The 22,541-nt window shown below is 42.4% G+C and overlaps 1 protein-coding gene across 3 annotated transcripts in view, besides 1 other annotated feature; it reads right to left on the reverse strand.

Moving 5' to 3' along the window:
• Positions 11,412-11,571: an enhancer, noted in NCBI's record as "active region_2946". NCBI's record gives its function as "activates an Ori minimal core promoter by ATAC-STARR-seq in GM12878 lymphoblastoid cells {active_cell/tissue: GM12878}" and the evidence as "EXISTENCE:reporter gene assay evidence [ECO:0000049][PMID:35858748]".
• The window catches only part of IL2RA (interleukin 2 receptor subunit alpha), a 51,679-nt gene continuing 48,146 nt past the window's right edge, over positions 19,009-22,541 (reverse strand). For all 3 annotated transcript variants that reach the window (NM_001308243.2, NM_001308242.2, NM_000417.3), the window contains one exon: positions 19,009-21,216. In NM_001308243.2, coding sequence (NP_001295172.1) covers positions 21,192-21,216 — 25 coding nt within the window. In that variant the 3' untranslated portion in view covers positions 19,009-21,191. The remainder of the gene's footprint in view (positions 21,217-22,541) is intronic.

Here is a 22,541-nt window from a genome sequence, read left to right on the forward strand (position 1 = left end):
TTCTAAGCAATGACGGCCTGTGTCACATGCCCAGGCCACATGCCCATCAACCCAGCCTTGGGTAGATCCTAAATTGAATCAGCTCCCACATTAATCAGCTGATAGGAGAAGATACAAGCCATTTCTAGTTGTCAGTATTATTTACCTCAGTCTCTGCTATTCCTTTACACACAAAGTCCAGCATTCAATCCAAATTTTAAGAGAGCCTAAAAACAAAACAGTCAACAGAATCAGACAGAGAGATGCTGCAGATGCTCAAACTAGCAGAGATTTTAACTAATTAATATGTTAAAGAGTCTAGTGAAAAGGTGGACAACATATATGATGGAGAATTTGATCAGAGAGATGGGAACTCTAAAAAAAGAGTTAAATGAAACATGAGCAATGAAAATGATTGTTATAGACTGACTTGTGTATCTCAAAATTTATATATTGAAGCCTAGTCCCCAGTGTCACTGTATTTGGAAATAGAGCTTGTCTTAGCAGACTAATACAATCATGGTCTCAGCTTTAAAGGATTCCTTCAACAGGCTTATTCATGAAATGAATGTAGCAGAAGAAAGAATTGGTGAACGTGAAGAGAGGTCAGTGGAAATTATCCACACTGAAACTTAAGGAGTAAAAAGAGAGGAGAAAAATAATAGCATTTCAAAAACCGTAGGATAATATGAAATGGCTTAACATACATGTAATTGAGTCCCAGAAGAAGAGACAAGAGGTCAGAAGAAATGATAACAGCTGAGGTTTTCCCCAGATGAATGAAAAACAACAGTCCACAGATCCAAGAAGCTCAGATAACCCTAAGCAAGATAAAAATGAATAAAAACACACCTGAGCACATCCTAGACAAACTGTTGAAAATCAGCGTGAAGAGGAAATCTTTGAAGGTAGCCAGAGAATAAGGAAATAGTCCATAAGGAAGACATTCTATGAAGCAGACTTTTCATTAGGCACTATGCAAGCAGAAGACAATGGAATGACATCTTTAACATATTCAAAGAAAAAATCCACCTAGAATCATATTCAGTGAACATTTTTTAAATTATGAAAATATTTCATAAATAAAAAAAGGTTTTTTTTGGCAAATAGAAGAGAATTTTTCATTGTAAGTACTACACTACAGGAAATGTTAAAGTAAATTCTCCAGGCAGAAGGAATCTGAGAATTGAAAGAAATTTGGATCTACACAAAGGAATGAGGAGTGCTTGAAACCACTGTTCTGCCATAGTGACAGAAAAAAATATTAAAATGTGGGCAAATATGGAAAACATTTTTTCTTATTTTAATCTCTTTTAAAAGATAATCAACTCCCTAAAGCAAACATAGTAATAATATATTATGAGATTTATAACATGTAGTAGTATAATGCATTTTAATAACAGCACAAAGGATGGGAAAGAGAAAATAGAAATATACTACTAAAAGATTGTGCATTTAAGGGGAAGTGTTATAATATTATTTGAAGATAGGCTGTGACAAGTTAAAAATATATGTTATAAATTCTACGGCAACCACTAAAAAACAAATAAAAGTATAGCTAGTAAACCAAGAGTAGAGATAAAATGGAACCATAAAAATACTCAGTTAATTGGCCAGATGTAGTGACTCACACCTGTAATCCTAGCACTTTGGGAGGTTGAAGTGGGCGGATCACCTGAGGTCAGGAGTTCGAGACCAGCCTGGCCAACATGGTGAAACCCTGTCTCTACTAAAAATATGACAATTAGCTGGGCATGTTGGTGCACGCCTATAATCCCAACTACTCAGGAGACTGAGACAGGAGAATTGCTTGAAACTGGGAGGCGGAGTTTGCGGCGAGCTAAGATAACACCACTGCACTTCAGCCTGGGCAACAGAGCAAGACTCCATCTCAAAACAAACAAACAAACAAAACAAAACAAAACTCAGTTAATCAAAAACAAGGACAAGGCATAAGAAAAAAAGGAACAAGGAACAGATGGGACAAATAGAAAACACATAGAATGATGACAGATTTAAATTTGGTCATATCAATAATTAAATTAAATATACATGGTTTAAACAGCTCCAGAAATTAGATAAATTATCGGATTGGATTTTAAAAAGCAGAACCCAACTGTATTCTTTCTACAACAATCCCATTATAAATATAAAGACACAGATAGGTTAAAAGTAAAATAATGAAAAAAAAAAACATGCCAACACTAATAAAAAGAAACCCAAAATAGCTACATTAATATCAGACAAAGTGGACTTCAGGATAAAGAATATTACCAGAGATAAATAAAGACATCACATACTAACAGGGTAAATTAATCAAGAAGACATTACAATCTTATATGTGAATGTACTTAATAATAGAGCTTCAAAACACATTAAGCAAAAACTGATAGAACTAAAGGGAGACATTTTAAAAAATCTGTAATTATTGTTGAAGTGTGGTCCAACACTCCTCTCTCAGTAATTGATAGAACAAGTGGATAAAAAAATCAGTAAGAATATAGAAGACTGAAAACACTTTTAAGGCAGTCCATCCAACAACAGCAGAGAGAATACACATTCTTTACAAACACACATGGAGCGTTCACCAAGAGAGAACCCTCTCTGAACCATTGAAAATAGATTCTGTTCTGGGCCTCAATAAACATAAAAGGATTCATATCATATAAAGTATATTATCTACACAACATAATTAAAATGAAAATCATTAATAGAATGACATCTAGAAAATTCTCAAATATTTGAAAATTCAACAAAACATTTTCAAATAATCCACAGGTCAAGGAAGAAATCACAAGGTAGAAATTTTTTTTAACTGAGTGAGATGAGAATGCATTATTTAATCTGAGGCATGCAGCTAAAGCGGTGCTTAGAGGGAAATTTATAGTATTAAATGCCTATATTAGAGAAATAGAAAAATCTCAACTCAATGATCTCAGCTTCTACCTAAAGAAAATATAAAAAGAAAAGCAAATAAAACGGAAAGTAAGCAGAATGAAGCAAATAATAAACCCAGCAGAAGCCAATGAAATTAAAACAAAATTAATAGAGAAAATTGAGGATACTAATAGCTTGTTTTGAAACAAGCATTAAAACGCACAACCCTGTAGCCAGACTTTTTATTTATTTTTAAATGAACACCAGTGCCACTTGCCAATCCCAGACTATTTTCTCAAATGACATAAGACACAAATTAAAAATAAAATGAGTTAAAGAATGGACAGAAAGCAGTTTGGGGTCCTAATGGTCATTGAAAGCAGGTTGGGCCATAGCCTTTCTCTCTTTTTATAGGTATAAAAGTGAAGGAATGATAAAATAAAACACAACAAATTACATATTTTGACAAGTTTGCAAATAACACAAATATTACATAATTTAGAAAAATAATATGTTAAAAATTAATTGTTTAACATACTTCTATAATGTTTTCAGCTGCATTTATTATTATTATTATTATTTTGAGACAGCGTCTTGCTCTGTTGCCGAGGCTGCAGTGCAATGGCATGATCTTAGCTCACTGTAACCTCTGCCTCTTGGGTTCAAGTGATTCTTGCGCCTCAGCCTCCTGAGTAGTTGGGATTACAGGCATGAGCCACTATGCATGACTAATTTTTCTTTTTTCTTTTTTTTGTATTTTTAGTAGAAATGGGATTTTGCTATGTTGGCCAGGCTGGTCTCAAACTCCTGACAACAAATGATCTGCCCACCTTGGCCTCCCAAAGTGCTGGGATTACAGGTGTGAGCCACCACACACAGCCAACAATGATTTTATAAGATCGCTTTCCATAGAGAGGTCAGAAAGATAATTTGATATTCACAGAAGCCAACCTGTGGCCATTCCAACCACATCTGACAAAAACCAGAGGCAGAGAATTTGCGACATTAATTAGTCTACTACTTCTATTGTTTCTGATATTACCATACACTAGCGTCACTGTTGAAAATAATTTTGGCATGGCCTGATACATCTCTGTCCATTACTGTAGTGATGCCCCTGGTGATTTCCCGTCCAAGAATTTAATGAAGTTTCACTCAAGTTCAGTCACATTCAATCATTCTTCCTGTGCCAGATATTGACTGTTGGTATTAAGTCCCATAGTAGTCCTTCCATATACTCTCTGTTACTGCTCAGTCTAGAAGTCTGAAAACTACATTTCCTAATCTCTCTTACCAATTAAGTCCAGGTGATTTTGTTCAATAACACAAAATTATAAGTAGGAAGAATGCAAAAGCCATTTTACTCCTGGCAACAGATTTAGAAGGATCATAGAGTTCCAGGATCCTCAACATCAGTAGGAATATCACCTCCCTGGTAGCAGAGGTGGCCGTAACAGCAGCCATAGCAGCAAGTATGTGCTCATAGGCTCTGGTAATAATACCTTTTGTAACTCAAACTCTGGGGGCAGTAGGGACTTCCTTTAGACACTGATCTGTAGGTAACCCCACCTTTTGCTCTGCTAAAAATTCCAAAACTTGTGTAACCAGTTGCCTGTATTAAATCCCCTTCTGTTTCAAATACATAGAAAGATGGGTTTTTTGTTAGTTAGTTTGTTTGTTTTTAGACAGAGTCTTGCTCTGCCCAGGCTAGAATGCAGTGGCGCAATCTTGGCTCATTGCAACCTCTGCCTCCTGGGTTCAAGCGATTCTTCTGCCTCAGTCTCCCAAGTATCCGGGATTATAGGCATGCACCACCATGCCCAGCTAATTTTTGTATTTTTAATAGAGACAGGGTTTCGCCACGTTGACCACACTGGTCTCGAACTCCTGACCTCAGGTGATCTGCCTGGCTTTGCCTCCCAAAGTGCAGGGATTACAGGCATGAGCCACCACACTCGGCCCATAGAAAGGTTTTTACCCCCTTGGCTGGATACTGATAGAAACAACTCCCAGTGCATGTTTACTAGAACAGACTTATTTATGTGCTGTGCTAGTTCTAGCCATTCCCAGAAATATTCAAGACGTGGCTTTGGGCCTGGATCACCAGTACAGATTTCTTGTGACCTCACGGTGTGTTGTAACTTGTGATGTATTTTTCCATCAGCACACCTCATTGGGATCATCTTCATATATTAGAGAAATTCTATACACATTGAGCCTCACAAAGGAAGGTGTCTGGGTATCAGATTCTCTCTTCCCAGGAAGTGCCTTTGGAAATTTACTTACTGCCTACTGAGAAGCCCTGCAAGCTGAAAGGTCAGTTCTGGAAGGGTGGCCTTTCCATTGATTAAAGGTCTTGTTACACGCTTTCCTCAGGGGCAGAGTTGCTTCACTGCTGCACATTTGCATAACGAAGGGGCCAGTACTCATAATGGGGATAAGAAGCTGTGTTTTATGGTAACGAGGAATATCCATCCCGATAGAGAAGAGATTGGGACCCAGGATTAAATAAATGTAAATTCCACCTTCCCAGATACACTGCTAAATAAGGGGAAAAAATAAATTTTGAGTTCAAAGACATTTCTTTCCACTATTCACCAACCATTGTAATCTAGAGACTTGTGTTCTAGAAGGGGAGCTTGCTAAACAGATTTCCACAAGCAGAAGCTAAATGTGATAAACGCAGATTTCAGTTTGCTGTAAAGAGAACAGTTTTGCACTAAAGTCGGGGCTGAAGAGTATCCTTGTCTCTTTAGTAATCAAATAAAAACAGTTCAGTAATTAGTGACAGACTTTGAACTTAAACAAGTTAATTAAGAACTGTGGGTTGATATGTCTGTTTTATAAGAATTATATTTAGAAAATAATTAACGTGCTTTTCTCTTTTGTCTTCCTGAGACCTCAGTCTTTATTTTTGTTGGCCTGGGGCATCTACCTGTTTTGTGGGGAGTGATGAGTTTAGGATTGTTATAGAGAAACGCAAAGAAAGGACTAAACTCTTAAAGATCATTGATTCGAAAACATATGTTAACCCTCACATTTAGCATTTCTAAGTCAGATGTGTCTTACAGCCTACAGTGTGTCACAGTTTTAGTGGTGATGCTCTTTTCCCCTTTATTTCCTAGGAGTAAATAAAATCATGGTGAATCTTATAGCAATGTAGATTTAATGAAACACTTCTGATACTCAAATAGCGTTGACGTTTTAAATTAAGATCTGCTTTACATGAGTTTTGACAAATGCAAACACCCTTTCCTCTATCAAGTCATAAGATAGTTCCTTTTCCTCAGAAAGATCCCTGGTGTCCCTTTACAGTCAATTCCTACACTACCCTCTGTCCCTGGCAAACATTGTTCTATTTTTTTTTTTTTTTTTTTGTCACAGATGAGTTTTCCTACTCTAAAGTCACAGAAACAGAATTGTATGGTGCATGATCTCTCATCTGGCCTCTTTACTCAGCATTTTGTCTTGCGCTTCTGCCTGTTGTGTGCACTCGTAGCTTGTCCCTTTGGTTGTGGAAGAGTCTTCCGTTAAATGAATATATAATTTGGGCCAGGTGTGGTGGCTCATGCCTGTAATCCCAGTACTTTGGGAGGCCAAAGCAGGCGGATCACTTGAGGTAAGGAATTCGAGACCAGTCTGATCAACATGGTGAAATCCCATCTCTACCAAAAAAAAAAAAAAAAAAGAATTAGCTGGGCATGGTGGCATGTGCCTGTAGTCCCAGCTACTCAAGAGGCTGAGGCAGAAGAATTGCTTGAACCCAGGAGGTGGAGGTTGCAGTGAGCTGAGATTGTGTCACTGCACTCCAACCTAGGCAACAGAGTGAAATAGTGTCTTAAAAAAAAAGAATATGTAATTTGTTGATGGATATTTGGGTTGTTTACTGTTTTTGGCAATAATAAATAAAGCTGTGATGAACATTTTCATACAAATATATATATATATATACATATATATACACAAATATATATATACACACACATTTTAATTTATCCTAAAACTTTTCTAGGAGAAGCATGACTGGATCATCTAGTAGGGGCATATTTAAAATAGGATTTTGAAGCAAAACAATCAATAGTCTTCTCAGCCAGGTTACTTTCTCCAGAGAGAATGGTCACTAATGTCCCTCTAGCATATCAAGGGTCAGGTTTGATGGCTAGCCCTTAGAATTCTTTTTCTTTCTTTTTTTTTTTTTTTTTTGACAGAGTCTCTGTTGCCCAGGCTGGAGTGCAGTGTTGCAATCTCGGTTCACTGCAACCTCTGCCTCCCAGGTTCCAGCGATTCTCCTGCCTCAGCCTCCCAAGTAGCTGGGATGACAGGTGTGAACCATCATGCCCAGCTAAGTTTTGTATTTTTATTAGAGATAGGGTTTTGCCATGTTGGCCAGGCTGGTCTCGAACTCCTGATCTCAAATGATCTTCCCACCTTGGCCTCCCAAAGTGCTGGGATTACAGGCAGGAACCACTGTGCCCGGCTGGTTTATTAATTTTAAATGATTAACCGTCCTTATGAGAAGTCCAGACCTCAGCATCATGCAACGTAATCACGTAACACATCTGCACATGCACCCCCAAATCTAAAATAGAAATTAAAAAATAAAATGATAACCCTGAGACATCTCTGGGCAGGGAAACTACTGGAGAAGAGGAAAGAAAAGCCTGTGAGTCCCACAGTTGTGGTTCGTGGAGGAGAGATGCCGTTTGATTCTTCTGGGTAGAGTGGGCAGACGGTCCTTGCAGGACCTGGGGGGAGACGCATATTTGAGAGTCCCGACCCGTCATTTCCCCTTCCAAACCCCTGATCTGCCTGGGGCTCTTGACTGAACCGTATCCACTCTGTGTCTTTCCCCTTGTCTACTTCAGTAATTTCTCAGGTGAATTATTAATTCAGTCAGAGTTTGGTTCAAAACCCTCCTTAGGATTTCATTCCCCTCTTCCTTGGAGAGCTACTGTTAGGGGTCCGCACCCAGGGAGCCCTGTGGGGAGGGGGCCCGGCTTGGTTACGATGGGCCACACACGGGAGGCGGGCTGGGGTCCCTCCATTTCTGTCCCTGGTGTCTGCAGGTGCTGAGGATTCCCAGTGGGTGGCACCTGTAGATCCCGGGTGCCCGTTCAGTTCCTGGCAGGGACACCTGCCTGCAGCTCTGGCCCCAGCTGCCTGCGGGTCTGCAGGGGATCGGTGGGGAGCCAGGCCCCTCCCTTGTTAATACCTGGGAGGTGTGCCTGCTCAGGCTCTCAGTTCGCCATCCCTCACCAGTTGGAAGTGCGGGGACATTTGGATCTCGTTCAGGCCACGTTTGCCCGAGGGATCCTCAGAGGGCTGTCTGAAGCTTTCTCCAGCTTTTCCTCCTTCCCGTGGGCAGGACTTGTACTCCTGGCTGCTGCTTCCAAAACGCAGCCGGACTGCCCTAGGCTTTTGGGTATCACAACTGAATGGATTCTGCCTATTAGAACCTACCCTTCCTCCACAAATTGCCAAGCAGCAAGAAGCACAGAGTTGGGGCACAGACTTCGCCATCTCTGTTTTCCTTTCCTCTTCCTTCACAGTGACAGCAGAGAGCGGCCTGGGTGGGAAGGAAACCAGTTCTCCTGCCTGTCTCCCGTTTCCCCACCTTTTGGGCTTTGCACCTGGTGGAGTGTTCCTGGCCCCCAACAGAGGAGCACCTGGTGACTTTGTTCTCACAAGTCCGCCTGGAAGCGTTGCATGGGAACAGAGCACACGGTGTGGAGCCTTAATGTGGGAACTCTGCCACACTGTAACACTTTACACGCCATTTTGTCCCAACGGCAATGGAGCCTCCTGTGTCTAGGGTTTCCTTAAGGCGTGCCGTTAAATATTCGTAAAATGAACACATGAAGAGCCTAGAGTCCAGAGGTCCTAGCAGATGGTGTTACATCCTCATCGTGAGGCACGTGGACGGGGGTTTCCGACCACCTGCGTTCACCCCTAGAATTGGGATTGATCTGGGCACCTCTGGGAAACATATGGGACAGGACCCGTGACTCTAGTTGCATTTTTGGAGGAGTGAGGCTGGGGGAGAAGAATAGGGAGGAACGCAGAGGACATCCTGGTACCTGTCTCAGAGATTCTTCCATGGGTCTGTGTCAAAACCTTGTGGAAAGCAAAGCTGGTGGCAGAAGCCGGGGATGCAGGATTCACAAAGGATTCTGTGAGACACTAGGACACAGTAACTTGTCTTAGTGCCCAGGTGATAAAATACGACATATAATGGGAAGGAGGAGTGTGTTCCCCTCCCATAGGCGGAGCCCAGGAAGGCTGCCTTGCAGGATGCTGTGGACTCCTAAAAATATCTGAAGGAGACCGTGTGTGTGTGTGTGTGTGTGTGTGTGTGTGTGTGTGTGTGTGTGTTATCACCAAGAGTGCAGTCTCATCTGAACCTACAAGCTCTGAAGGAGACTCTGTGTGTGTGTGTGTGTGTGTGTGTTATTTACAGGTTATTACCAAGAACATGGCCTCACCTGAGTCTGCAGGCTCTGAAGGAGACCATGTGTGTGTGTGTGTGTGTGTGTGTGTGTGTGTTATCACCAAGACTGCAGTCTCATCTGAACCTGCAGGCTCTGAAGGAGACTGCGTGTGTGTGTGTGTGTGTGTGTGTGTGTGTGTGTGTGTGTGTTATTTACAGGTTATTACCAAGAACATGGCCTCACCTGAGTCTGCAGGCTCTGAAGGAGACCATGTGTGTGTGTGTGTGTGTGTGTGTGTGTGTGTGTTATCACCAAGACTGCAGTCTCATCTGAACCTGCAGGCTCTGAAGGAGACTGCGTGTGTGTGTGTGTGTGTGTGTGTGTGTGTGTGTGTGTGTGTGTGTGATTTACAGGTTATTACCAAGAACACGGCGTCACCTTAGTCTGCAGGCTCTGAAGGAGATCGTGTGTGTATGTACGGGTTATTACCAAGAGCACAGTTTCATCTGGACCTGCAGGCTGGTGAGGCCAGGAGAGATTCACTCAGGGGCCAGTCCAAAAAACAGAACCTGGCTAGGAATTTCAAACAGGTAATTTTTTGAGAAAGAGTTTTATTGGGGGTTTAGTGAACATTGAAAAACTGCACATATTCGAAGTACACAGTTTGGTAAGTTTTGGCATGAGTACACACCCCTAAAACCACAATCAAGATAATGTTCCTTTGTCATCTTCCCCTGACAGTGTTTGATCTGCTTTCTGTCACTATAGGGCAGTTGGGATTTTCTAGAAATTTATATAAATGGAGTCAAACAGTGTATAACCTGATTATTGCTGACAATCCTTGGTGTTCCTCAGCTCGTGGCATCAAGCTCCAACCTCTCCAGCGGGGCGCAGTGGCTCACTTCTCTAACCCAGCACTTTGGGAGGCCAAGGCAAGTGGATTACTTGAGACCGGGAGTCTGAAACCAGCCTGAGAAATATGGCAAAACCCGGTCTCTACTCAAAAAAATACAAAAATTAGCCAGGTGTCGTGGCATACACGTCTAATCTCAGCAACTTGGGCGGCTGAGGCATGAGAATCTCTTCAGCCCGGGAGGCAGAGGCTGCAGTGAGCAGAGATGGTGCCACCGTACTCCAGCCTAAGTGACAGAGTGAGACTCTGTCTCAAAAAAAAAAAAAAATCCTCCAATCTCTGACTCTGTCTTCACCTGGCTGTCTTCCCTCTGTGTGGGTCTGCGTCCAGATTTCCCTCTTCTTATGAGAACACCAGTCATATTGGGTTTAAGGTCCACCCTAATCTGGTATGACTTCATCTTAACTTGTTACATTTCCAAAGATTCTATTTTCAAACAAGGCCACATTTGTCGGTTCCAAGTAGGCATGAATTCTGGGGAGACATTATTCAACCCAGTGAAATTTTAGCCGAGTCCTTTAATATTTATTGGCATGTAAGCCTGCTGGTTATGAAGTCTTTCAACTTTTATATGTCTAAAAATACTTATTTCATCTTCATTTTTGAAGGCTATTTTCCCTGCATATAGAACTTTAGGTTGACAGTTTTTTCTTTCAGTAGTTTAAAGATATTGCTCCACTTATACTGTTACCAGAGAGAAATCTGCATTTATTTATTTATTTTGAGACAGAATCTCACTCTGCCACCCAGGCTGGAGTGCAGTGGTGCGATCTTGGCTCACTGCAACCTCCACCTCTTGGGTTCAAGTGATTCTCCTGCCTCAGTCTGCTGAGTAGTTGGGATTACAGGGATGTGCCACCATGCCTGGCTAATTTTTGTATTTTTAGTAAAGACAAGATTTCACCATGTTGGCCAGGCTAGTCTCAACTCCTGACCTCGAGTGATCCACCTGCCTCGACCTCCCAAAGTGCTGGGATTATAGGCATGAGCCATCGGGTCTGGCTGTCGTCCTTATTTATATTTCTCTGCAAAGGTTCGTTTTTCTCTGGCTGCTTTTAAGATCTTCTCTTTATTACTGGTTCTAGGAGTGAGGTCTGTGGCTTGGGCCTTACGAAATCAGAATCATCTCACATCTTCTGGTCACAGTGCAGGAGTAGATATGAAACCTAGTTTGAGTCAACAAGACTGGAGAAGACATTTGCTGGAAGCTCCAACGAGGGAACCTTATGTCTTTTCTTATTTCTAGATGTGATAATCTGATATTAATTCTGGAATAGCTACAACCTGTTGGCTATCACGAGGCTAAGCTGGTCTTTGAATAAATTTGACATCATTGGAGACAGAAAAGAGAGAAGAAAAAATACCCATAACCAGGTTCTTGATAAGGTTGCTGAGCCATGCAGGAAGCACCACTGGAGGGTACACAGTTATGAGAGACAGTGGGTTTTCATTTTCTATTACAGTCACGAGTCACTTAATGATGGGGATACTTTCTGAGAAATGCATTGTTAGGTGATTTTGTTTTTGTGCAAACGTCGCAGAGTGAACTTACACAAACCTAGATGGTAGAGCCTACTGCACTCTGGGGCTGCTATAGCCTGTCGTCCCTAGCTACAAACCTGTAAAGCAGGTTACTATACTGAATACTGCAGGCAATTGTGATACTAAGGTATATATTTGTGTATCTTTTTGTTTGTTTGTTTGTTTGTTTGAGAGAGAGTCTCACTCTGTTGCCCAGGCTGGAGTGCAACGGTGTAATCTTGGCTCACTGCAACCTCCGCTTCCCAGGTTCGAGCGATTCTCCTGCCTCAGCCTCTCAAGTAGATGGGATTACAAGCATGCGCCACCACACCTGGCTAACTTTGTATTTTTAGTAGAGTCGGGGTTTCACCATGTTGGTCAGGCTGGTGTGGAACTTCTGACCGCAGATGATCCACCCGCCTTGGCCTCCCAAAGTGCTGGGATTGCAGATGTGAACCACTGCGCCTGGCCGTATTTGTGTGTCTAAACATGGAAAAGGTATGGTAAAAATATGGTATTATAATCTTATGGAACCACTGTCGTGTATATGCAGTCTGTTGTTGATGAAAACATTGTTATGCGGTGCATGGCTATATTTACAATTTAGTTTCGAGTGATGCATTTGCTGATATGGTGCTTGATAATCCTACTGCCCTGAGATAACAGATTTCTTTTCATCCTTACCTTCATATCAATAGGCTAGCTCTGAAGGTATGTTCATCAACATCGTAGAAGAAGAGGACACGTGTTTCGCACTGCACTCTTTAAGAGGAGAAACGGAAATAACAGGGAAAAGTTTTTAAAACTTCAGCAGGTTTCCCTTTGCAGTTTCTGACTTAGCCAGAAGACATCAGGCAAAAGGAACATCTCCATGTGAGCCAACATTTCAGAAAGGCTTCAGGGGTGTTGGAGAATGAATGCAGTGATTTTCTGAAGAAAAGTAGGGGAGTATTCAAATTAATAAAGAGAACCAATGTTATTTTATCTTATCTACTTGTTTATCTCCTGTAGGGAAATCTTTTTCAGATAATATTTATGGAACAGAAAACATGTATTTACTTGAAACTCTGCTGTCATGTTGAATATTGATTCTGGAGTCCATTTTCCATTGAAAAGATTTTGATACTAATATGCTATACAAACAGAATTTTGGTGGAGAGGGTGTCTTAGTCTGTTTTGTGTTGCTGTAACCTGAGAATACCTGAGACTGGTCTTTCTTTCTTTCTTTCTTTCTTTCTTTCTTTCTTTCTTTCTTTCTTTCTTTCTTCCTTCCTTCCTTTTCTTTCTTTCTTTCTTTCTTTTTCTTTCTTTGTTTCTTTCTTTGCTTTCTTTCTTTCCTTTCTTTCTTTCTTTCTTTGCTTTTTTCCTTCCTTCCTTCCTTCCTTCCTTCCTTCCTTCCTTCCTTCCTTCCTTTCTCTCTCTCTCCCTCTCTCTCTCTCTTTTTTTTTTTTTTTGACAGAGTCTCGCTCTGTGGCCAGGATGGAGTGCAGTGGCGCGATCTCTGCTCACTGCAACCTCCAACTCCTGGGTTCAAGTGATTCTCCTGCCTCAGCCTCCGAGTAGCTGGGATTACAGGTGTGCGCCACCATGCCCCGCTGGAGACTGAATCATTTATAAAGAAAAAGTTTTATTTGCCTCACAGTTCTGGTGTCTGGAAAGTTCAAGATTGGGCATCTACACTGGGAAAGGTCTTAGGCTGCTTCTGCTCCTGGTGGGAGGTGAAGGGGGGCTGTTGTGTGCAGAGGTCACATGGTGAGAGAGGAAGAAAGGGTGGGGGGAGATGCCAGGCTCTTTTTAACAACCAGCTCTCACGGGAATGAATAGAATGAGCACTCACTCACCCCCCTCACCCAGGGAGGGCAATCATCTATTCATGAAGGATCCACCCTCATGACACAAACACCTCTTATTAGGTCTACCTCCAACACTGGGAATCACAGTCCAACATGAGATTTGCTTGGGATAAACAACTGTTAGAGGTGTTTGAACCAGAGCAACTCCATCTTGAATAGGGGCTGGATAGACTAAGGCTGAGACCTACTGGGCTGCATTCCCACATGGTTAAGGCATTCTAAGTCACAAGATGAGACAGGAGTTTGGCACAAGATACAGGTCATAAAGACCTTGCTGATAAAACAGGTTGCAGTAAAGAAGCCGGCTAAAACCCACCAAAACCAAAATAGAGACAAGAGTGACCTCTGGTTGTCCTCACTGCTACACTCCCACCGCTGCCATGACAGTTTACAAATGCCATGGCAACATCGGGAAGTTACCCTATATGGTCTCAAAAGGGGAGGCATGAATAATCCACCCCTTGTTTAGCGTATCATCAAGGAATAACCATAAAAATAGGTAACCAGCAGCCCTCGGAACTGCTCTGTCTATGGAGTAGCCATTCTTTTATCCCTTTACTTTCCTAATAAACTTGTTTCACTTTACTTTACAGACTCGTCCTGAATTCTTTTTTGCATGAGATCCAAGAACCCTCTCTTGTGGTCTGGAGCAGGACCCCTTTGTGGTAACAAAACCATATCCAAACGATAGCCGAGGGTGTCATTTTAGTAGGAGTGTGGGTGATTGATACAGTTAGGATGCTGCCCTAACAAGGGCAAAAATCGCAGCAAATGGGAGGGTTATTTCTGTCTCATATGCAGTCTGAGTGTGTGCACTGCTGCTGGGGCACCTCATGGGGTCAGACTCCCAGCCTCCTTGGATTTTTTTTTCCCTCTCAGGCTTCATGTGTGACTTCTATCCTCCCGGTGGTTCTAGCTCACGAGAGCAAGAGCACGCAGCCACCAGTGAGAGGAGATGAAGGAGGGTGTGCACATTCTCTTCAAGGGCACACCCTGGGCGTCACACACGTCCCTTCTGCTCATATCTCTGTAAACCAAACATAAAATTCTAAGCCCCCAACTGACTAAATGAGCCCCTTTTTGGCCAAGGGCATCCCCAAGAAACTGAAAAACTAGTTCAGGTCATGACAAGAAGTGGGGGGGTTGACACGCCTCATTGTAATCCCTTCCTTTGGAATTCAGGCATCAACTGACCAGGATTACATTAAAATAGAGATCATAAGACCTAAGAAACAGATGCTTTAGCAACAAGATACCCAATCCCAGCTTGATTCTGGTATAGCATCACATGACATATAACAGGCCAAGAAGGAAATAAAATTATTTTACCCCAAAATATTTTTTGACATATTTTGAAGTGGCCCTGCAAAGCTGTCTCTTAATTTTCATACTGGAGGAATCTCCCTTCTCTTAATGGGTCTTTTCCAGAGAGTCTGACGTCTGTTAAGTTCCAATAAGATATATGTGCTCTCTATTCTCTCTGAAGCCTGCTATCTGGAAGCTTCGTGTACATGACAAGGACAGTGTCTTCCACAACCCCACTCCCCTTATCTTAACTCAAGCATTTCTTTTTACTGACTTCAACTCCTCAGGCAAAGCTTAACTCTTTCAACCAATTGCCAATCGGAAAACTTTTGAATCAACTATGACCTGGAAGCCTCCCACTTTGACATGTCCCACCTCTCTAGGCTGAACCAATGTATACCTTACATGTATTGCTTTATGTCTTCGCCTATAATTTCTGTCTCCTTAAAATGCATTAATATCAAACCCAGCTGTAACTCAACCACCTTGGTCACATGTTCTCAGGAACTCCTGATGCTGTATCACAGGTCATGGTCTTTAATCTTGGCAATATAAACCTCTGAATGGATTTAGACCTGTCTCAGATACTTTTTGGTTTACATCTCATCCAAATTTAGTCACATGACCACACTTAGCTGCAAGGGAGGCTAGAAAGTGTTGTCTTTAGCTAGGGGCAGAAATGTGTTGGGTTAAAATTTGGGGATTTTATTACTGATGGTGGAAGGGAAGAATGGATCTACAGGACCATAGAAATCTCTGTCATAATGGCTTATTTGTGTAGTTGTTTTAAATTCCCAGTCTGATAATTCCAACATGGTAGTATCCGAGTCTGGTTACAATGCTTGCTTTGCCTCTTTAATCTGTGTTTTTTTGCCATTTAGCATGCCTTGTAATTTTTTGTTGAAAGCTGGACCTGATATACAGCATAAAAGGAACCAAGGTAAATAGGCCTTTAGTGTGAGCCTTTATGTTTACCTGGTTAGGAGTTAGGCTGTGTTTGCTATTTGCTGTAGCTGTAGATGTCAGAGGCTAAAATTCCCTCTAGTGTCTTTGTTTTTGTCTCCCCTCTCATCTTTGGGCTTCCCTAGAGACTGCTTCTTAAAGAGGGACTGAAATGTGCAGTTGTTTCCACTGTAGTCCCCTGTGAGCGCACAACAGCCCCACTGATGTGGTGGTAAGGTGCAGGGGGAGGGGAACCATTCCATAGTCTTATGATTAGGTTCAGCCTTCAGCAAGCCTGTACCCCTGGGCTGTGACCTTCACAAGTGCTTTTCATTCGCCTCCTCCCTTAGATGAGACAAGAAGGGCAGAGAGGCTAGAGCTGGTTATTTCCCTTCTTTCAGGTTGGTTAGACACTGGTAAAATTTAGGTTGGTTAGACTATGGTAAAATTTAAGATAGTGAGGAAAATACTGTTTCTTGAGGGCAGGCCTTGTTGGACAAGTACTGAATGCTCTGGCATATTTCAGAATGGTACCTGTCAGGCCTCTGAGCCCAAGTTAAGCCATCATATCCCCTGTGACCTGCACGTATACATCCAGATGGCCTGAAGCAACTGAAGATCCACAAAAGAAGTGAAAATAGCCTTAACTGATGACATTCCACCATTGTGATTTGTTCCTGCCCCACCCTAACTGATACGATATGTTCTCCCCTGACCTTAAGAAGGTACTTTGTAATATTCTCCCCACCCTTGTGAATGTACTTTGTATGCCTATCCCAAATCTATAAGAACTAATGATAATCCCACCACCCTTTGCTGAATCCTTTTTCGGACTCAGCCCGCCCGCACCTAGGTGAAATAAACAGCCTTGTTGCTCACACAAAGCCTGTTGGTGGACTCTCTTCACACGGATGCGTGTGACAGTACCTTTTCTCTTTCCCCCGTCAAAAGCACAAGGAAGTTTTTCTCCCATCTTCACTGTGAAGACCTCATTGAGTTCCTGGAGGGAAAGGTCATGAAAGTGGGGACCCCCTGTGACTGGGTTGCTCCCCTGAAATTTTTATCTCTCAGAAGTGTCCACACTGAGCCTCCAGCAATTTGTCAGTTCCAGTTTAGGTTTTCCTGCCCCTCTGCTGGTTCCAGTAGCAGGGTTTGTTCCTGGGTTTCTGGTCCAGGAGGTTATGATTTCCCTGTATCAGCCTGTCTGCCTCTCCAATATTGGGGACAGTGAGCTACCCTGTAATCTTACTTACTTCTACAGACCTAAGAAGAGTTATTGACTTTCAGTTTGTTCAGATTTTCAACCCACAGCAAATTAATTGATTATGCACGTTGGGAGCCAGCCAACACAACCCCTCCATGAAAATCACTGGCAGGAATTCATCATTTAGCTGAAGGAATACCAGCGAGTAAAAACTGAAACCAACTCACGATAGTTCTGGTGATGCATCAGGAACAGCAGCCTTCCTGGGAGCTATGCAAATTTTACGTTCTCGATAGAATACCAAAGTGGAGTCTTCCATAAACTTTAGTAATATGCTAATTTTGGTTTTTGAAAACAAAAATTCAGGGTCCCCTGATAACTCACTTAGTAGAATACTAAAGTCACCATAAAGACTTCAGGAGGATCCTTCTGGGCTGATGACCCTTCTTTGAGCATCAAGAATAAGATAAGCAATATTTAAATATTTTGGCCTCAGGATCTCCTTTTTAAAAAGTTGAGGCGAAATTCACATAACACACAATTAACCATGATAAAGTATACAATCCAGTGGCTGTTCGTGTATTCAACATGTTGTGCAACTACCTCCTCCCTCTAGTTTCAAAACTTTTTTACCACCCCAGAAAAATCCCCTGGCAAACACTTATCTGCTTTCTGTCTCCATGGAATTGCCTATTCTAGATATTTCATGTTAAATGAGTCATACAGTAGTGATCTTTTGTGTCTGGCTTCCTTCACTCAGCATAATGTTTTTGAGGTTCATCTAAATGGCAGCATGGATCAATACTTCATCCCTTCCTGTGGCTAATACTCCACTGGCAGGGATATGCCATGATTTGCTTATCAATTCTTTTTTTTTTTTTTTTTTGGAGAGAAGAGTCCCTCTGTCGCCCAGGCTGGAGTGCAGTGGCACCATCTTGGCTCACTGCAACCTCTGCCTCCCAGGTTCAAGGGATTCTCGTGCCTCAGCCTCCCACGCAGCTGGGATTATAGATGCGCGCCACTATGACCAGCTAATTTTTTGTATTTTTAGTAGAGACAGTGGAGATGAGGTTTCACCATGTTGGCCAGGCTGGTCTCCAACTCCTGGCCTCAAATGATCTGCCCACCTTGGCATCCCAAAGTGCTGGGATTACAGGCATGAGCCACCATGCCCGGCCTTTATCCATCCCTTTGTTGTTGGGTATTTGGGTGTTTCTACCTCTTGGTGAGTATGAATAATGCTGTTATAAAGAGTCGTGTACAAGTTTGTATTTAGACACGTTTTTGTCTTTCTTGGGTGTGTACCTAGGAATACAATTGCTGGGTTATAGGACAAATTTATGTTTAGCTTTTTGAGGAACTGCCAAAACAGACTCTGTTTTGCACAGTGGCTGCACATTTTGACATTCCTACCAGCCATCTGTGAGCATTCCTATTCTTTTTCTTAAAGTCATCTTAATGGGTATGAAGTAGTATCTCATTGTGGTTTTGATTCGCATTTCTGAAATGACCAGTGATGTTGATGTGCTTGTTGGCCATTTCACAGGATCTTTGCATGTTATTTAAAACTATTAAAAACTATAGAGGATACCAGGCTGGGTGCCGTGGCTCACGCCTGTAATCCCACCACTTTGGGAGGCTGAGTTGGGTGGATCACTTGAGGTGAGGAGTTCGAGACCAGCCTGGCCAACATGGTGAAACCCCGTCTCTGCTAAAAATACAAAAATTAGCTGGACTTGGTGGTGGGTGCCTGTAGTCCCAGCTACTTGGGAGGCTGAGGCAAGAGAATCACTTGAACCCAGCAGGCAGAAGCTGCAGTGAGCCGAGATTGTGCACTGCACTCCAGCCTGGGCAACGGAGCAACACTCCATCTCAAAAAAAAAAAAAACAAAAAAACAAAAAAAAAGCACCAAAAAACTATAAAGGTTTTTGGTTATGTAGATTATAGCTAGCAATATTTATCATATTTATAATAAAAACCAAGACTTTTTAAAAAATATCATTTATTCTTTTATAAACAATAGCAATAAATTTATTATATGTTAACAGCAGAGTGATGACATCATCACGTATCACATAGCTTCTGGAAAATTCCACCATACACTTTTGAGAGAAGGACAGATAAATGGTCGATAACATCTTAGTATTATCATGGAAAAGTTTTGATCTTATAGACCCCTCAACACCCAAAAGTCGTAATCAGTTCTACTCAAGTAAGATTTAAATATATATCTATATTTTCTGGTCTGAGATTCTTTTCAACTTTACTCAGAAAACATATACCTGAAGGGGGAGGGGGAGAGTGCACAGATGAGTCTGTTTGTATGTGGTTGGTCACAGAAATGACAGAAAATAGTTATTTAATCTGAATCTGGACCCTGCTGAAAACTGCCGTGATTTCTCATAACACTCTCCTGCCCCTTCAGAAGTGAAAACTGGCTGATAGTTTCCCAAATGAATAATTTTCGTTAATGTTAATCGTGTGATGTTGTTGAGCTAGAATGTTGACTCAACTGATTCGTGAGGGGAGATCTTGCACCAGATATGGAACCAGGACTTCCACCGAAATCTTAGCTCTGGAAGTTGATTTTTTTCGTGGGAGTTGAGAGTGGGTGGGCGTGCAGAGCAATAACACAATGGTTCTCAAAGTGTGTTCCTGGAATAGTAGCAGCAGCAACAGCACCTGGGAATTGTTAGACACACAAAACATTTGGCTCTATTCCAGACCAACAACTCAGAGACTCTGAAGATGGGCCCAGCGAACTCTTTTAACAAGGCCTCCCGGTGATTCTAATATGCTGAACTTTTTGATAATGTTCAAGGACTGCTGGTATGCTCATCTTGTCTTTTTTTCCTTAAAGACAGGATCTTGCTCTGTTGCCCAGGCTGGAGTGCAGTGGTGCCATCATGACTGACTGCAGCCTCGAACTCCTGGGCTCAAGCAATCCTCCTGCCTCAGCCTCCTGAGTGGCTAGGACTACAGGCGTATGCCACCACATCCAGCCAATTTCTAATTTTTTGTAGGGATGTGTCTTGCTATGCTGCCCAGGCTGGTCTCAAACTCCTGGCCTCAAGAGATGCTCCCGCCTTGGTCTCCTAGGGAGCTGGGGTTATAGGCCTGAGCCACCGTGCCAGGCCTGATGCGCTCTTTTCCGTGGTTACGTTCTACCAGTGTGACCTCCATCCCTTCTCCCTCTTCACTTCCTTCTTTCTTTCCTTCCTTGCATAAACATTGAATGTACGGATCCCTTTTTGGTGTTTTTAGACACTTCTCAGGAAACGTACGCATTGATTTGCACCTTGTGTGTCCACCTGTAAACATCAAATTAGTGCAGGCCAAATTCAGGGTATCATTCATAGCAATCCCAAAGAAACTAACTCTTAAAGAGGCCAATTAGTAACGCACAGGTAAAACTTTGCTAAGTATGATTCTCTGCCTGGGACCTCATTCATCCTTCTGTTCCTGACATTGCCTCATGGGTTTGGCTGCCCCGTTTTGAAGTTACCCAAAGATTATTCTGCCATGGCCTCTGTTTTTTAGAAATTCAAGACTGAAGGCTCAGTAGAAGGGGGTTAGCTTAGAGGATTGAGCCAAGGGTAAAATGATTTCTGGGTAGCAGCCCAGAGTTCTTGAAGGATGTTTATTAGGCAACGTGAACGGGAGAATCAGCAGTCAGAAGCGGCTGAGAAAGGAACCACGCAGACAATGTCCAGTTGTATAGGGTAGAGTGTGTGTGTTGTGTATTTACGTTAGTGCTGGGGCTTTCCTTGGGACTCCTGAACTGGGAAGTTGGAATGAGATGAATGTAAACCTACTTTTCTTTATACTACATATAGGGTGGAGAGAGTTCCATACCATTCATGCTTTAATGAACACATATACATGAAAATAAGATGGAGAGTTCTAGTGGTTTTGCCCTTCCTCTTCAACGGCGAAATTGCTATTTAGAAGTGGGTAGCGCTCGCTCTCTGATGGGACTGAGCTGGCATAGAGACAAGGTTGCCACTGCCCCGTGTCCTGTGATGTGACTTCAGAGCTTCCAAAACGCAGGCAAGCACAACGGATGTCTCCTGGGCGACCATTTAGCACCTTTGATTTCACTTGGGCTTCATGACTTCTGTTGTCTGTTCCCGGCTTCTTACCAAGAAATTCTTGTTCTTTTGGTTTTCTAGATTGTTCTTCTACTCTTCCTCCTGTAGTGGTGTAACAAAGTCACGGTCATATGTGTAACACGGCACCAAAAAAATGTGGTCCTCACTCTAAACCAGTGCACACGCCACCATGCCTGGCTAATTTTTGTATTTTTAGTAGAGATGGGGTTTTGCTATGTTGGCCAGGCTGGTCTCGAACTCCTGACCTTGTGATCTGCCTGCCTCGGCCTTCCAAAGTGCTGGGATTACAGGTGTGAGCCACTGTGCCTGGCCTAAGTTTTTATATGGCAGACAATAGCTGTGGAACAGGAATAATAAACAGCAACTAACTGTGCTAAATGATGTGCATGCAGTAAAGCACTTGGTTTCTAGCCAGCACTGTGCTATAGAACTTTCTGAGATGATGGAAATCTTTTGCAGTTGTGCTGTCCGATAACACAGACACCTGTGGCTAGGGAACGCTTGAAATGTGGCTAGTGCAACCGAGGAACTGAATTTTTAATTGTATTTAATTTATTTGAGTTTAAATACACTTAAGTATCCACAGGTGGCTAGTGGCTACTGTATTGGACAATACGGTCTTAGCCTTTTCCCAGTTCTTATTTGGCTCATGGGAATTTCTAATTACTCCCTACTTTGCACAGAGTTCCCATAGCACAAGACTCCAAGCAGAGGTGTGCTGGTGATGTTTAACAAGCAGCTCTCTGATGACGGTTGCCTGTCTTCCCTGGTGTCAATCCTCCCTCCACACACAGCTTCCAGCTGGCAATGTGACATCACTGATCACGCGGTTGGGAAGAGATGCGCGGTAGCCACCGTCAAACGGTATTTCCACCATGCGGACACAATAGATGTAAACCACCCAGCGAACAAAGATAACAGTAAAAGGTAGCAAATAATTAGGAAGTGATCAGTTGTAAGTAATTCTTGCCTTTGTTTTTAATATAATTTATTAAATTGTAAATTTAAATATTTTAATTTTTTTTTTTTTTTTTGAGACAGCGTCTCAATCTGTCACCCAGGCTGCAGTGCAGTGGCATGGTCACAGCTCACTGCAATCTTGAACTGCTGGACTCAAGGGATTCTCCCACCTCGCCCTTACCAGTAGCTGGGACTACAGGTATGTGCCACCTCGCCTAGCTAAGTTTAAAATGTTTTTGTAGAGACAAGGTCTCACTTTGTTGCCCAGGCTGGTCTCAAGCGAGCCTCTCACCTTAGTCTCCCGAAGTGCAGGAATTACAGGCAGGAGCTACTGCTCCCAGCCTAAATACTTTAATTTTCCATAATGGCTATGCTTAAAAACCAGTTTGCAGAAGTCCCGAAAATTTAACCGCTGGCTCTCACAAGCCACTGTGAGCCTTCTGTAG

This window comes from Homo sapiens, chromosome 10 (assembly GCF_000001405.40).
Source record: "Homo sapiens chromosome 10, GRCh38.p14 Primary Assembly".
NCBI classification, from domain to species: Eukaryota; Metazoa; Chordata; class Mammalia; order Primates; family Hominidae; genus Homo; species Homo sapiens.